This window comes from Homo sapiens, chromosome 7 (genome assembly GCF_000001405.40).
Source record: "Homo sapiens chromosome 7, GRCh38.p14 Primary Assembly".
Classification (NCBI taxonomy): Eukaryota; Metazoa; Chordata; class Mammalia; order Primates; family Hominidae; genus Homo; species Homo sapiens.
Window position 1 is genome coordinate 77,095,203 of NC_000007.14, and position 14,631 is coordinate 77,109,833.

At 35.0% G+C, this 14,631-nt stretch overlaps 1 pseudogene across 1 annotated transcript in view; it reads right to left on the reverse strand.

Annotated features, from left to right (window-relative positions):
- FAM185BP (family with sequence similarity 185 member B, pseudogene) overlaps nt 1–14,631 on the reverse strand; it is a 40,635-nt pseudogene that overhangs the window by 13,548 nt on the left and 12,456 nt on the right. The window contains exon 5 of the transcript NR_146190.1: nt 3,708–3,749. The product of NR_146190.1 is annotated as a family with sequence similarity 185 member B, pseudogene (transcript). The remainder of the gene's footprint in view (nt 1–3,707; nt 3,750–14,631) is intronic.

A 14,631-nucleotide genomic window follows, 5' to 3' on the forward strand; every position in this document is an offset into this window, starting at 1 on the left:
TATACTGTTTACAAAACAGAGAGAGAAAACATTTGTGTGTGTGTGTGTGTGTGTGTGTGTGTGTGTGTGTGTGTGTATATAGGAGCCAACATTTTTCTTTTAAAAAAATGTTAACTGACTTCAAACAAAGACAGTAAATTTGGAATAAACTTTAAAATCTGGCTCCAAGATCATTTATAATAATTTATTTCCAATCTATACTGGAAAATGCCCTTTATCAGACTCAATTTATTTAGTTTTCAAGTGTCAAAAGTTAACACTGACATTGGGAAATGAAAACACTAGAGATAAATGACACAGAATAACTGGACAAAATGAACATTTCACTGCTTACGTACCAACAGAAACTCCTTTTTAAACCTCTTACCGCATCCTAAAAGAAGCCAAGTAAAAATTACATTATGCTAAAAAAAAGAAAAGCGTAATACACAAGGTGTGTATTATTCCAGTTTGAACAAAGTAAAATAGCTGAAACATTAGTGTGATTTCTCGCTTTCTCAAGGAGGGAAAAAAAACACAGAATTTTTATGTGGCTCATAAATAATACTTTCATTTATTTTTCCCTCCAAATGAGAAATAAATGACAGCTAAATAATTATATCCTAGGCCACAAAGTAATTATATCCTCGTGTTATCTGTATTGATCTCTAATGATGGCTCATCCCTTGGAGGCTGTTAAAAAATAAAAAAATGAAAACGCAAGATGTTTTCAAGAAAGAAGGCAAAGGTGATATTTTAAAACTATGCAGCAAAACAAGCCCTCCTATTTTTTTTGTTTAACACAAATTATCAGAACTAAAATTAATTATCAAGAGTAAAATTAAGGCTTCATCCACAGAATTTCATTCTTTTGGAGTTTACATAATGGAGAAATTCTATGGATCTGGGAGAAAGTCCTGTAGATCTAATATATAGCACAGTGACTGTAATTAACAATACTGTATTGTAAACTTGATATTTGCTAAGAGAGTAAATCTTAAACATTTTCATCATACACATAAAATGGTAATGAGGTGAAGTGACAGATATGTTAACTAAACGGACTGTGGAAATCATTCCACAGTATATATGTATATCAAATCATTATATTGCATGTATGCCTTAAATATATACGGTTTTGTCAATTATGTCTCAATAAAGTCAGCAAAAGCCAAAAAAAAAACCACACCACAAAAGAAACCAAAATAAATCTACATTGTAACGTGATTAGCTCAGTGCTTGGCACATGGGCACTGAGTAAATGATAGATATTTTAAAGAAAGGGCCAGGTGTGGTGGCTTATGCCTGTAATTCCAGCACTTTAGGAGGCTGAGGTAGGAGAACTGCTTGAAGCCAGGCATTTGAGACCAGTATGGGTAACAAAGTGAGACCTTGTCTCTATTTTTTAAAATAATAAACAAGTAAATAATGTTAAAAGAAAAATCAGTCAGTATAGTTGGTCATATTAATAAAAGAAAAATGATCATTTCAATAAATTCAGGAAATGTGTTTGACAAAATTCAACACTCATTCACGATCAAAGAAAGTAAAAAAGGAGAAACTTTTAAGCAAACAAGGAATAAAAGATTACTCTCCCAATCTGATAAAAGGCATCTGTTAAAAATCTATAGCTAACATCACACTTAATGCATTCCCCCTAATATTGGGGACAAGGATAGGGATCAAGTGCAAGGAATCACACTCTCATCACTACATTCAACATTATACTGAAGTTCATAGCTAGTCTGATAAGGCAAGAAAAAGAAAAGTAATAAAGATAGGAGGGAAAGAGGTAAAACTCTATTTGCAGTTGAAAATGTCTGCTCAGCTAGAAAAGGATTCTAGATTTGAGAAAACCGCTATTAGAATAAATTTAGCAAGGTCACAAGATACAAGGTCCATTTATAAAAATCATTTGTATTTACATATATCAGCAGTAGACAATTAGAAGCAAAGTCTTAAAAACTGTCTCATTTATAACAGTGTTAAAAACACAAATGAATTTAACAAAAAAATGTGCCAGACCTCTACATTGAAACTTACAAAGCAATGCTGAGAAAAATTAAAGAAGACCTAAATAAATGGAGAGAGCTACCTACCATGTTCATTAATTGGAAGATACAATGTGATTCAGTGCAATCCCAAACATAATCAAAACTGTATTTTTTGGTAGAAACTGACTGGAAAATCAAAGGACCTATTATATCCAAAGTAATCCTTAAAAGGAACAAATTTGGAAGACTTCAACTACCTGATTTACAGACTTACCAAAGTTACAGTAATCATGATATTGTGGCACTGGCATAAGGCTCACCAAATAAATCAATGAATTAGGAACAAGAGATCAGACATTGAGCCACACTTATATAGTCATTTGATTTTAGACAAGGATGCTAAAGTAATCCATCAGAGAAAGGAAGTTTTTTCAACAAATGATGATATAAAAAAATTTTAAAACTGACAATAATAAATGTTGATGAGGATGTGGAGCAACTGAAATTCTCATACATTGTTGATGAGAGTATAAAGTGGAACTCTGGGAAAAGGTCTGGTAGTTTATCATAAAGTTAAACATAGAACCTACCTAGTCAACTCAGCAATGCCATACCTAAGTATTTACCCAAGAGGAAAAATATATATACATCCATAAAATGACTTACATTAATATATTCATAGCAGCTTTATTTACAGTTGCCAAAAAATTAGAAATAGCCCAGGTGTCCATCAACAGTAGAATGAACAAATTAAGCCTTCTAATAGCCTGCTTTCACTTCTGAACCCTTCTGGTACATTATGAAATAACAGCTAGATTGTTCTTTTAAAATATAAATTATATATCACTTCCCTAACATCCTGTTGTAGTTGGAATAAAGTCTGAACTCTTACCCTGTCTACAAGGTCCTAAGATCTAGCCTTACTTACCTCATATCCTACCACTTTCCTCATAAGCCAGCCTTCTTTCCCTTGAAAATAGTAAACTTCCATTTTCAAGGCCTGCACTTGCTGTTCCTCTATCTAGGGAGCCTGTATCCAGAATTTTATATAACTCTTTCTCATTTTTCTGGCTTTGGTTTAAATGTACCCTCTCCAGACCACCCCCAATTGCCTAACTGAAGTAGCTTTCTTTTTCCCCAATCTCTATTCAGTTACCCTTTCTTATTTCTTCATTGTACTTACCACAAACTAAAATTACCTTTTGTTATTTATATGCTTGTTGTCTTTCTTCCCAGGGCTCAGAGAAGGTGAAGTCTCTGAGCACAGAAACTATGTCCTGTTGACCAATATGTTCCCTAGTACCTAAAAGAATTCTTAATACATGGCAGGTACTCAATAAATACATGTTGACTAACTAGTTATTGGTATTCACAAGGTTGTCTTCAAATGTTAACACATTTGGAGCCCAATAAACAGTGACATTATTTATATCTTTCTTTCAAGGACTTAATTTAGATATTTGAAGAATTCAAGAAATTTGTAAGATCTTTTTTTCTTTCTTTTTTTTTTCTTCAGAGAAGTTTAGCAAGAAATATAAGACATTTCTTAATACCAGCTCAGGCAATTTTCTTCGAGTGGACATAATTAGTACATTGGTTCTGCCTATATTTGACTTGTGATCCTGTCAAGTTCATCAGTTAAACTGTAGAATTCATTTATTCTAATAAAGTCATCACAAATATACCCATTTTTAAAAGTGGACAAAATACACGAACTAGTAGCTTAGTACGTACCTACTGTGATGTTACCCATCTCGCTTTGTAATGTTATATTACCTGCCAAAAAGAAAAAGATACTTTTATGTACTAGAGACAATCTAGAAAGGAACTGTGATACATAGCAATGCTAAAACATGGATGAATATCTACAATGTTATTTTTGTTGGCAATTTTTCCCAATATCACAAGTCCAGTCAAAGATTGAGCTGTAGTTCTGAAATAACTGGCTTAGGTATCTCTGCAAACCTTCTTTCTCTACTACCAAACCTTAAGCTTTTATAGCATAACTACAAATCACCATAACTGCTGGCACAGAGGAAAAACAATACTTCTAAAACCTGTAAGTGAAAAAAATTACTGAAATGTAGTCACTGTACATTTTCAACCTAAATATCAATGTATTTATCAGACCACACAAAGCGAAGTTTTCAACCAAGTAACACTAAAATATGGTATGGAAAAAAAGAATTACTTTTATTTTTCAGGCCACTTGCCATGTCTATTAAATTAAAAGTAGTTTCTGGGCCAAGAATTAAAGTGGTTTGAGATAGGAATAATGAATACATGGAGGTATGACTAGCAAAACAGAACAAAGAAGCTTCAAAGATTTCCGTCTTAGTGAAAATATGTTTTCCATGATAAGTATGGAATATTGCAACCATTCTTCCCAGCCCCTTTCCCCTAATACCAAAAGTAGTAGGATTATTCTTCATATGTGTGTTTGTACGTGTAAGTATTCCTAGAATCAGGAACTCATATTTATTCTACTGAAAATATAAGCAATAATGTTATCTCTTCTAAAATAATTCCAAAACTACACTAAAAAGTAAAGGAATAACTTTGGCCTCAGAATTAATCTTCAGTAAACTCATTTTATCTCATTTCATATACCTTATGAATACTGACTTGTATCAGTATCTGGGAAAAACCAAAAAAAGGCACTGGATTCATTTACTCAATAGCCAGATGCGCCTAATTGCAAAAATCCATCTGAAGGTCTAATATACCATCATATTTCCTGTGAGTATATGAACAAGGAGTATATTTGTGTATGAATAAAAACTTGGTTTGTGTACTGAAGCTTATAAGATTACTAATTTTTTTTTTCATATTTTAGATTCAGGGGATACATGTGCAGGTTTGTTACCTGGGTATATTGTGTGATGTTGAAGTCTGGGGTACAAATGATCCCATCACCCAGGTACTAAGCATAGTACCCAATAGTTTTTCAACCCTTGCCCCGTCCCTCCATCCCCCATCTAGTAGACTCCAGTTTCTATTGTTGCCATCTTTATGTCCATAATTATCCAATGTTTACCCCCCACTTATAGGTAAGAACATGTGGTATTTGATTTTCTATTCCTGTGTTAATTCGCTTAGGATAATGGCTTCCAACCGCATCCATGCTGCTGCAAAGGATATAATTTCATTCTTCTTTATGGCCGCATAGTATTCCATGGTGTATATGTACCACATTCTCTTTATCCAGTCCACCACTGATGGGCACATAGGTTGATTCCATGTCTTTGCTATTGTGAATAGAGCTTCAGTGAATATGTTGAGTGCATGTGTCTTTTTGGAAGAATGATTTATTTTCTTTTGTGTATATATCCAGTAATGGAATTGCTGGGTTGAATGGTGGTTCTGTTTTAAGTTCTTTGAGAAATCTTCAAACTGCTTTCCACAGTGGCTGAACTAATTTACATTCCCACCAACAGTGTATGAGTGTTCCCCTTTCTCCACAGCCTCGCCAGCGTCTGCTGTTTTTTTACTTATTTTTAATAATAGCCATTCTGACTGGTGTGAGATGATATCTCATTGTGGTTTTGATTTGCATTTCTCTGATGACTAGTGATTTGGAGCAGTTTTTCATGTTTGTTGGTTTCTTGTACGTCTTCTCTTGAGAAATGAGCAAAATGTCCTGTCTTTTGCTCATTTTTAATAGGGTTATTAGTTTTTTGCTTATTGATTTGTTTAACTTCCTTGAAGATTCAAAGGAACAAAGGATATTAAACCTTTGTCAGATACAGAGTTTGCAAATATTTTCTCCCATTCTGTAGGTTGTCTATTTACTCTGTTCATAATTTCTTTTGCAGTGCAGAAGCTCTTTCATTTAATTAGATCCCAATGAGGCAAGTCTAGGAGGACAGGAATCACATCTTTCTTATTTAGCTTCATACCTGGGAACTTTGCACAGTGCATAGTACATAGTAAACACAATTATTTTGTGAACAAATAAAAAGTTTGGAAAAGTAGGTAAAGAGCAACCTGTGGTAGAACCACAGAGTGCTAAGTCTACTGACTATCCTACACCAAAAAAGTTAGTGAAGAATTTCAAGATGGATAAAAATACAAGAAAACCATGCTTTAAGGAGATTCACCTAGTGTGAGACAGTGGGTGTTTCCATTCTCAGCATTCTCTTTACTGCTTGTTGTGGTTTGAACGTTCCCACAAAAGTTCATGTGTTGGAAACTTAGTCCCCAGTGCAGCAATACTGTGAGGTGGGACCTTTGGGAGGTAATTGGGTCATGAGGGCTCTACCCTCATGAATGGATTAACCCATTCATGAATCAATGGATTAATGGGTCATAGAGGGAGTGGGTTAGCTATTACAAGAGTGAGTCTGTTATAAGAGCCAGTGTGGGTGTCTCTCATGCAGCCTCTCTCCATGTGAGGCCTGTGCCACTTCATGACTCTGCAGAGCCCCTATCCGCAAGAAGGCTCTCACCAGATGCGGCTCCTAGACCTCAGACTTCTCAGCCTCCAGAACTGTAATATATAAGCTTTATAAATCACTCAATCTCAGGTATTCTGTTGTAGCAACAGAAAACAGACTAAGACACTGCTCTACCTCCTGAACAATAAAAGATAGACAGGTCCCTGATATTCGTAACTTTATTAATAAAGAACTATGATAAAGTTTTACAGTCATTTAGCTAGTGAATCCAGTCACCCACTCATCAAGGCAATGGAGCTTTATAGTTTTACACTAGTCTTTAATAATGCAGTAAAAATTTACAATTTTTTTAAAATAAAAATATGGTCTTTCTCAAAAAGCCAATCATTAGTGCTTGTCATGAAAGTGAGGAGGTCTTGAGAAAACAATGATTCTTTGAACCAGAAAAATAGAAGTTTTAGATCTATACAAAATGAGGATTAGTTAATTATAGTGGGACCTATAGAGTCTCAGATAACATTCTTCTTGAATGTTTGAGTTCTACTGTATACTAAAAGCATAATGGAGCAACAACAACAAAAACCCATGGAATTAAGGAATCGTTTCAAATACTGTCTAGTTGTAAGTAACACTTCAAAATATTTTTGTCAACTCTAAATAAAACAGTAAACAAAAACTTATTTTCAACTCATATCAAAATATTTAGAAAATCTCTACCTTAAACAGAAATATTCTAAAGTCATTAGAAAACACAAAATGGATTTCTTGCTTCAAATGCATACTGGAATAAAGTAGTATATTTAAAAGTATACCAAGCAACAAAATGGGCATTATTAGCAAAATTTTCTATATTTTGATTTCACCTACTTGATCTCCAATCACTGAAAATAATAAATTAATTATTTGAGAGGAGTAAATCTTAGTAAAAGCTTCTTTCCAATAAAGCAGACACCAGATGGTCTGTAATAACTATGTGTGCTTACCCTACTCTCAAGTTATATAAGTTTTCCACAAATCCCAGTATTTGAGAAAATAGTTTTTCTTAGCTTATAACCTTTCATTCTAGCATGGTCAGAGGAAAAAAAAATGTAATCAATTTAAAGATAAACATTGGTTTATTTTTCTTCACCAAAAGAAATGTGATTATGGTTCAAGCACATAGAACTCTTAAAATCCAAACAGAGTAATCAAGTATCCTTAAAGATTAAGTCATTTTGTGGTTTTTGGTGGGTAGGGGTGGGGAGGTGGAAAGGGAGACACTTGTATTTGCAAGCCACAGTGCTAAATGCTAAGAATATAGAGATGAATAAAACATAATCTTTGTTCTTGAGGAGTTTATAATTAGGCAAGGATTTATAGAAAACCAGAGATGAGGCAAGATGCTTTAGCTGAGTACTGAAAGATTAAAAAAGTCACCAAGATTTTTAAAAAGCTAGGAAAAGCATTTCAGGCAGAATATAAACAGTATGATCAGTATGATCAAAGGCTCTGATCAAGAACTCAGAGGTATAAAACAGGTAAAAATGTATATAGGAAAAAAGACTAATTCTGGAAGACAAAGCATACAGTCAGAAGAGGGAAGAGGGAAGTTGGGCACGTCACTAAGGCAGTAGAAAACGGTCCGAATAAGAGAATGACATGTTCAATGTGCATTACTAATAAACTGCTTTAGCTGCAGTGAGGAGAAATGGATCTGAAGAAGGCAAGGCTGGAGGCAAAGTTATTGCTAGTATCAAGGCAAGAGGTCAAGAGGGTCTAAAACAGAGGTGTAGAAATTAGCAGGAAAAAGGTGAGATAGATTGAAAAAATATTTAGGAGATAAAACCTGCCTAAACTTGGTAGTTGATTAGATGCAGGAGATGAGAGAGAAACAGGAAGTTAAGACCACTGCCAGATTTATAGCATGGGAATTGGGAACATGGCAATATCAGAAACAGCAAATAAAAACAAGGAAAGAGGACACATTACAGATGACGTTCAGGGACTGGGGAAGAAGGGAAAAAAGCAAGAAATGTTGAGTTCAAGATGTCTGTGAAGATCCAAATGGCTATGTCTACCTGCCAGATGGGATGTATAAATTAGTCAGGGCTAGAGACATAGATTTGAATAATCAGATTTGAAACACCCTTGTAAGGGTAGTTCAGACTCAAAAGTATATAAGATGCCCTAGGAAAATATGTAGAGAAAGAACAATAGGACAAGGATGAAATCCTGGAGAATACCAATTATCACAGAGGTGGAAAGAGAAGGAATATAGAGACATTTGTGAAAGAGCAATTATAAATATATGATAGAGACTGCCAGTGTCCATTAATATTGGTGTGCCTCTCTTCTTCCATAAAAGTACTGCTAAACTACATATCTCAGCCTTTGCAGTTAGGTAAAGCCATTTGAAAATATTTTGTCCAAAGATCTATGGGCAGAAGTAATATATGCACTTCTAGGCCTGGTTTCTGAAACTTCTTCCATGATCCTCTGTGCTGTCTCATTTTTCATGGAAGACTTGGAAGCCACAAACTGAGGAAGCCAAGTCTCTGAATGTCTCTAAGGAGCTGCACTTAGGACAGACACTGTAGTAAATATCAATATTTTGTGTCAGAGGTCTAAACCCTGAAAAACCTACATGGTTTGCACCACAAAAAAAAAAAAAGCTGTAATTCCTTTCTAGTATTTCATATAAAAAAGTTGTGGCCAGGTGCGGTGGCTTATGCCTGTAATTCCAGCACTTTGGGAGGCTGAGCCGTGCGGATCACCTGAGGTCAGGAGTTTGAGACCAACCTGGCCAACATGGTGAAACCCTGTCTGTACTAAAAAATATAAAAATTAGCCGGGCGTGGTAGCAGGCGCCTTAATCCCAGCTACTTGGGAGGCAGAGGCAGGAGAATTGTTTGAACCTGGGTGGTGGAGGTTGTAGTGAGCCGAGATCAAGCCATCGCACTCAAGCCTGGGGGACAAGAGTGAGACTTCTCTCAAAAACAAAACAAAACAAAACAAACAAAACAAAGTTATATGTGTCCAGATTCGAAATTAAGCATCAAAATGATAATCAAATTAAAACTTCATAATGACCTAGGCTAGGAATAAATACTAGAATTTCAATAAAACATTTTCATGAATGTCATGAAAAGATCTATTTAATCCAATAAAAGATTCTGTGTTTTAAAATTGTATATTATTTGTGACTTTCTAAGTTTACAAACCAGATTTATAAATTTATCGGTGACTACAAGTCCTTCTTAAAGCAGATTGGGACATTTCTTCTGAAATTTTGAGTGCTATCAAAGTTATCACCTGTGTTTTGTACAGTTCATGTAAATTGTACTTCTTGAAAATTTCAAAAATAAAAAAGTAGTTACTAAAGGAAAAGTTTATGCATGTATGCCAAATATTTGAAGAACAAAGGACTTTTGAAGTGCAGAGAAAATGAGAGAACTAATACTCAGCAATTTATCTATCAAGATATGTTTCCAAAGAACTTAAAATAGAGCCTAATTTACATAGGAAATCTAAATATTTAAAATAGAGTTTTATTCATTAGTCACTGTTCTGGATCATAACATAAATTTTTAAAATACACAAAAACAACATGAACACTCTTACATCTTAATCGAATCAGTTTGTTTAAATCATGGGTTACAAATAAAACCAATCCTAGCAAACCATTTCAAGGAAGTTTTTCATTGTCTCCAATAGAGTCAGAAAAACCATATTTATATTTAAAACTGTATTTTGTAGAATACATATAAATATATGCATGTATTATACATGCACAGCATTCTTTAAAAAGTATCAATATTCAAATATCAGAATTTAATAAAATATTATTCATATAAAACCAAATTTAATTTTTGATTATTTAGAAGGAAATCAAGATAGTAAACTCATAAAATTTTACATCTAAACACAACCTATTCAAGTACCTATTCTCCCACTAGATTCCCATCGTCAGAAAGTGAATATTTAATAAGTCAATGAATAAACTGGTTTCTTTTGTAGTAGAAGGCATACACACTTAACAGATGTGATTCAACCAACTATACAAATAGGAAATATGACTAGTCAATTAGCTTACTCAGTTTCTTACATATAAGATATAGTTAGCTATACTTAAAATGTTCACTTGAAAAAACACTTAGGATAAATTATTTTCTTCTCTATACATAGGAATCAACTTGCAAGGCCAGGAAAGATATATTGCTCCTTTCATTACTCTTTTCCTCATTAATGGGCATGCTCTAAGTACTCGGCACTAGTATGTTAGATGTTGCTTTGCCATCAGGGTATATAAAAAAATTGAAAATGCAGACAAAAAATAAATTTCATGCTCTTGTTTCCTTTCATGGAAGACTTAGAAGCCACACACTTAAGACAGCACCATCACTTTTATGGAAGGAGTCCAGTTCCTGAATGCTACCATGGAGCTAAGCCCAAACACTGTATGGAACATCTACATTTTCGGTCATAAAGCACGATAAATGTCCTGAAACTCAAGGAACTTATAATGTAGAACATAGCTGAAGCAGTGCATCTGTGTTATAGTACTGTCTTCTTGGAGGAAACATCTTTAGAGTGAGTCAGGAAGCCCTCAAAGTGATGATGGAATTTGCGGTTGCAATCAAGTTCACTGTTTAAAAACCTCTCCTAGAAAGCCAAGAAACTAGGATCAAATCCTTGCTATTCCACTAATTAACTTGTGGAGTTGAGAGTAAACAATTAGACATTTCTAAGTCTAGTTTTCCTCATCTGTGAACAGCCAATTGTTCATTAAGTAAAAGGGGCTGGCCAATTTAGGTATTCAATACATGTTTGCTTTCAACCACCCACCCACCCACCTACTGGCACAAAGGCTCCAAACTCTACTTGTAAAATCTACCAAAAAGAAAGTTACTGCATTATATTTGTGTATAAATGGTTTTTACAACATCTATATGTTGGATTTTTTTTTTTCTGCTCTCTCTGGAAAAAAATTAGTTTAAGCCTTGCTTAAGAAAAAAGAAGCTAAAGTAAATAAATCCTGACCAAGAACGCATATATTCTCAGTTTGTTTTCTGTAAGTCAAATGTTTAGAAATAGCAATGTATTTTCCCATAAAAACAAGTTTTAAGATTCTCAAGCCAGTTTATTTAAATATAGCCAAAATATATACCTAATTTGTGTTATATAACCATCAGCATTTAGCACAAAGAATTCATTGAAATATATATCCAGAGTTCTAGGTTGGGAAGATCTTGGGAGAAATAATTCCCACCAAAATTCCAGGAACTAGAAAACTGGGACTTACTTTCACCAGCCATGACTCTAATCTTCTCACCCACCAGGATGTGAGACTAAACACTGCCCGCTCTCCTGTACCCCTCCCATCCCAAACCCCAGACTACAAACTCCAAAAGCATGTTCATACAATCCCTTAGGACAAGGATGGAAATAGAGGTGACAGGGGAGAGGAAGGCAAGAAACTTAGAAGTGTCTGAAGGGTGATTTTTTAAAAGTCGAGGCACTGGGGTGTGTCCATGGAATTAAGAGGGGTTTCCTGTCTTAGTTCTCTCTTGTATATGCTGAAAAACCAAAGCAGAGTGAGGAACAAGGACTAGGTGGAGAAAGCAAGGCTGAACATGGAAGCTTTTCTACAGTTACTTCTGTGAAAGTAACTATAATTTGAAACTGGATTAAATTTTCCCTTCCCCTTCTCCTTCTCATTGCTGTACTAGTATTACAAAAAGAAGCTGTGAGAAACATCTAAAAGAGTTCTTTGCATTGAGGCAGGGTGATAATGGACCACTGGAAATGAGGTGGGAAGTAACATCCCAAAGGGGATGGTAATAACTGAGAAAATAAGAAAGTATATTTAATCCTTCTACTCTACTCTGAGTTCTTTAACGACAGGTTTCACCTCCTGCCCAACTTTGCACCTTTGGTGCCTGGAAATCTGGCACACAGTAGGTGGTCAATAAATATGTCAAATGAATGAATAAATATAACTGTAGTAGATGCTATATTCCTTATCCAGATCCCACATCATAACTGAAGGGCTTATTTTCCTAGCTATTGGAGTACTGCTGGCAGACAGCCCTCAGCTGTCAGCCCTCTTTGGGAATTACCTAGCAAAAAGGAGTCACTTCGGCCCAAGATCATACTCCTTCCTGGGGCAGCTTGCATCTAATGATTGGGGATATAAACGTCCAGCTCCTCTCACCCCAACTTGAGACAACTCTGAGGGACCATCCCAGCTTCAGAGCTCTCCGTGTGGGTTACTGAAACTGTATCACAGTCCAACTTCTCCCATGGAAATCTGGCTTTCTTCCTTTACATGGCATTGGTCCCAAGAGGCCTCCCTAGTAAATTTGCTGTGCTCAGATTTCCATTTCAGAGTGTCTGCTTTCAGGGAAATTCAACCTGAAACAATAGTCCAAAAGAGGACCTAGATTTAAACCAGCTAAGGAAAGGTATCTGATTTCATATTAAAGGTCAGTAAATATAAAAAGGTTTTATTAAGGCTAAGGAATTAACTTTCTTTTCCAGCAATGTATTTCCATTTTAGCTACTTTAAGTAATCAACAGACCTAGAGTACTTTGAGGACTGCTTCAAAAAAGACCACCTGTTTTACTACCATCTAGGCAATTAATGATAAACTGTACCAAATTCAATTTATCTAACTTAAAAGAATGCAAAAAAGAAACATTATGAATTTAGTGTAAACATGGTATAAAGCATTGCAGAGAACAGACTGCTTTTCCTGTGGATGTTAATCCACATCTGACTTGATAAGGAATTGTTTCTCCACTAAAAGCTACTAAATACATTAAGCACAGTATTTTTCATTATGATTAAGATAGTTAGAAATGCAATGCTTATATAAAAGTCACTTTTAAATTATGAAGAGTTACAAACTACCAGATCTACTTAAGGTACAACTGAATAAAAAATAAATAAATGAATAAGTAACAAAACCATTTGCTTCATCTGGATACAGCTCCATATGTACTTACGCTATTTTGGGCTCAAATAATACTTTAACCTTGCAAGAATGCTTGAGGTTTAACCATTAAATTGAGGCTCCAGAACTATTTCAAGCATATAAGTATGCTTTTTAAAAATTTTTTTTTTAGAAGACTACTTGCCAAATTGCTACATAGCATGATTAGCACTAACCATGCTTTCTAATGCCACTCTATAACTCTTGCTCACAACTAAAATCTGAGGGTTTTGCCAGAGTGTACAGATACCAATATCCAGCTTTACTATAGAGGTGAAATGAGTGGACTATATATGGAAAAAGTCCGAATCTGTACTTCCTGGAATATGGCTCAAAAGGCATTTAGCAGATGTTTTATACTGGATTAGTGATTATTAATTCTATCTGTATATATTTCAGAAAACACACCTGGATTTGAATCATCTGCTCTGTGGAAATTCAAGAAGCAGGCTGAGTGACACTGAACACCAGCATGCCCTTTGCCATATTACCTCATCATTATACTCTTATTTTCTTTCAATAATGCAAACATTAACTATGTAATATTTCTTGCAGAGACAGGATTTAGAAACCACAAGAGGATATTTATCAAAGAAAATGGAAACAACAGGGTGCTGAGAAAACCTGGTGCTAGTACAAATGCACACAAAACATTTAAAATAAAATTAGTATCAGAGTTGCTATAATTACCTTCCACCAAATGTTTCATTAATTTAACCCTCAGCTTCCTTATGTTAACATAAAAGCAATCACTCAGTACCCATCTTTACCTAACACTGCTTTTACTTCATCTCCTGCATGTATTTCCTTGCTATTTGTTTCCTATTATAAGAAAACACAGGCTGGATGCAGTGTGGCTCACACCTGTAATCCCAGCACTTTGGGAGGCCAAGGGGGTGGGTCGCTTGGGCCCAGGAGTTTGAGATCAGCCTGGGCAACATGGTGAAACCCCATCTCCACTAAAAATACAAAAATTAGCCTAGCGTGGTAGCGCACACCTGTAGTCCCAGCTTCTCGGGAGGTTGGGGTGGGAGAATCACCTGAACGTGAAAGGTGGAGGGTGCAGTGAGCCAGTATCACGCCACTGCACTCCAGCCTAGGCAGCAGAGCAAGACTCTGTCTCAAAAAAAAAGAAAAAAGAAATGCATTAAAAATTAGACTTACTATTAGTTCCATATATAACAGCATAATCTTTAATCTCTTGCACAAATAAAATAAAATTAGCTTTATGAGTCATTTTATTTTTATGGTTTTTTTTTTAAAAAGATGGTTAGTCTGCATTTCATT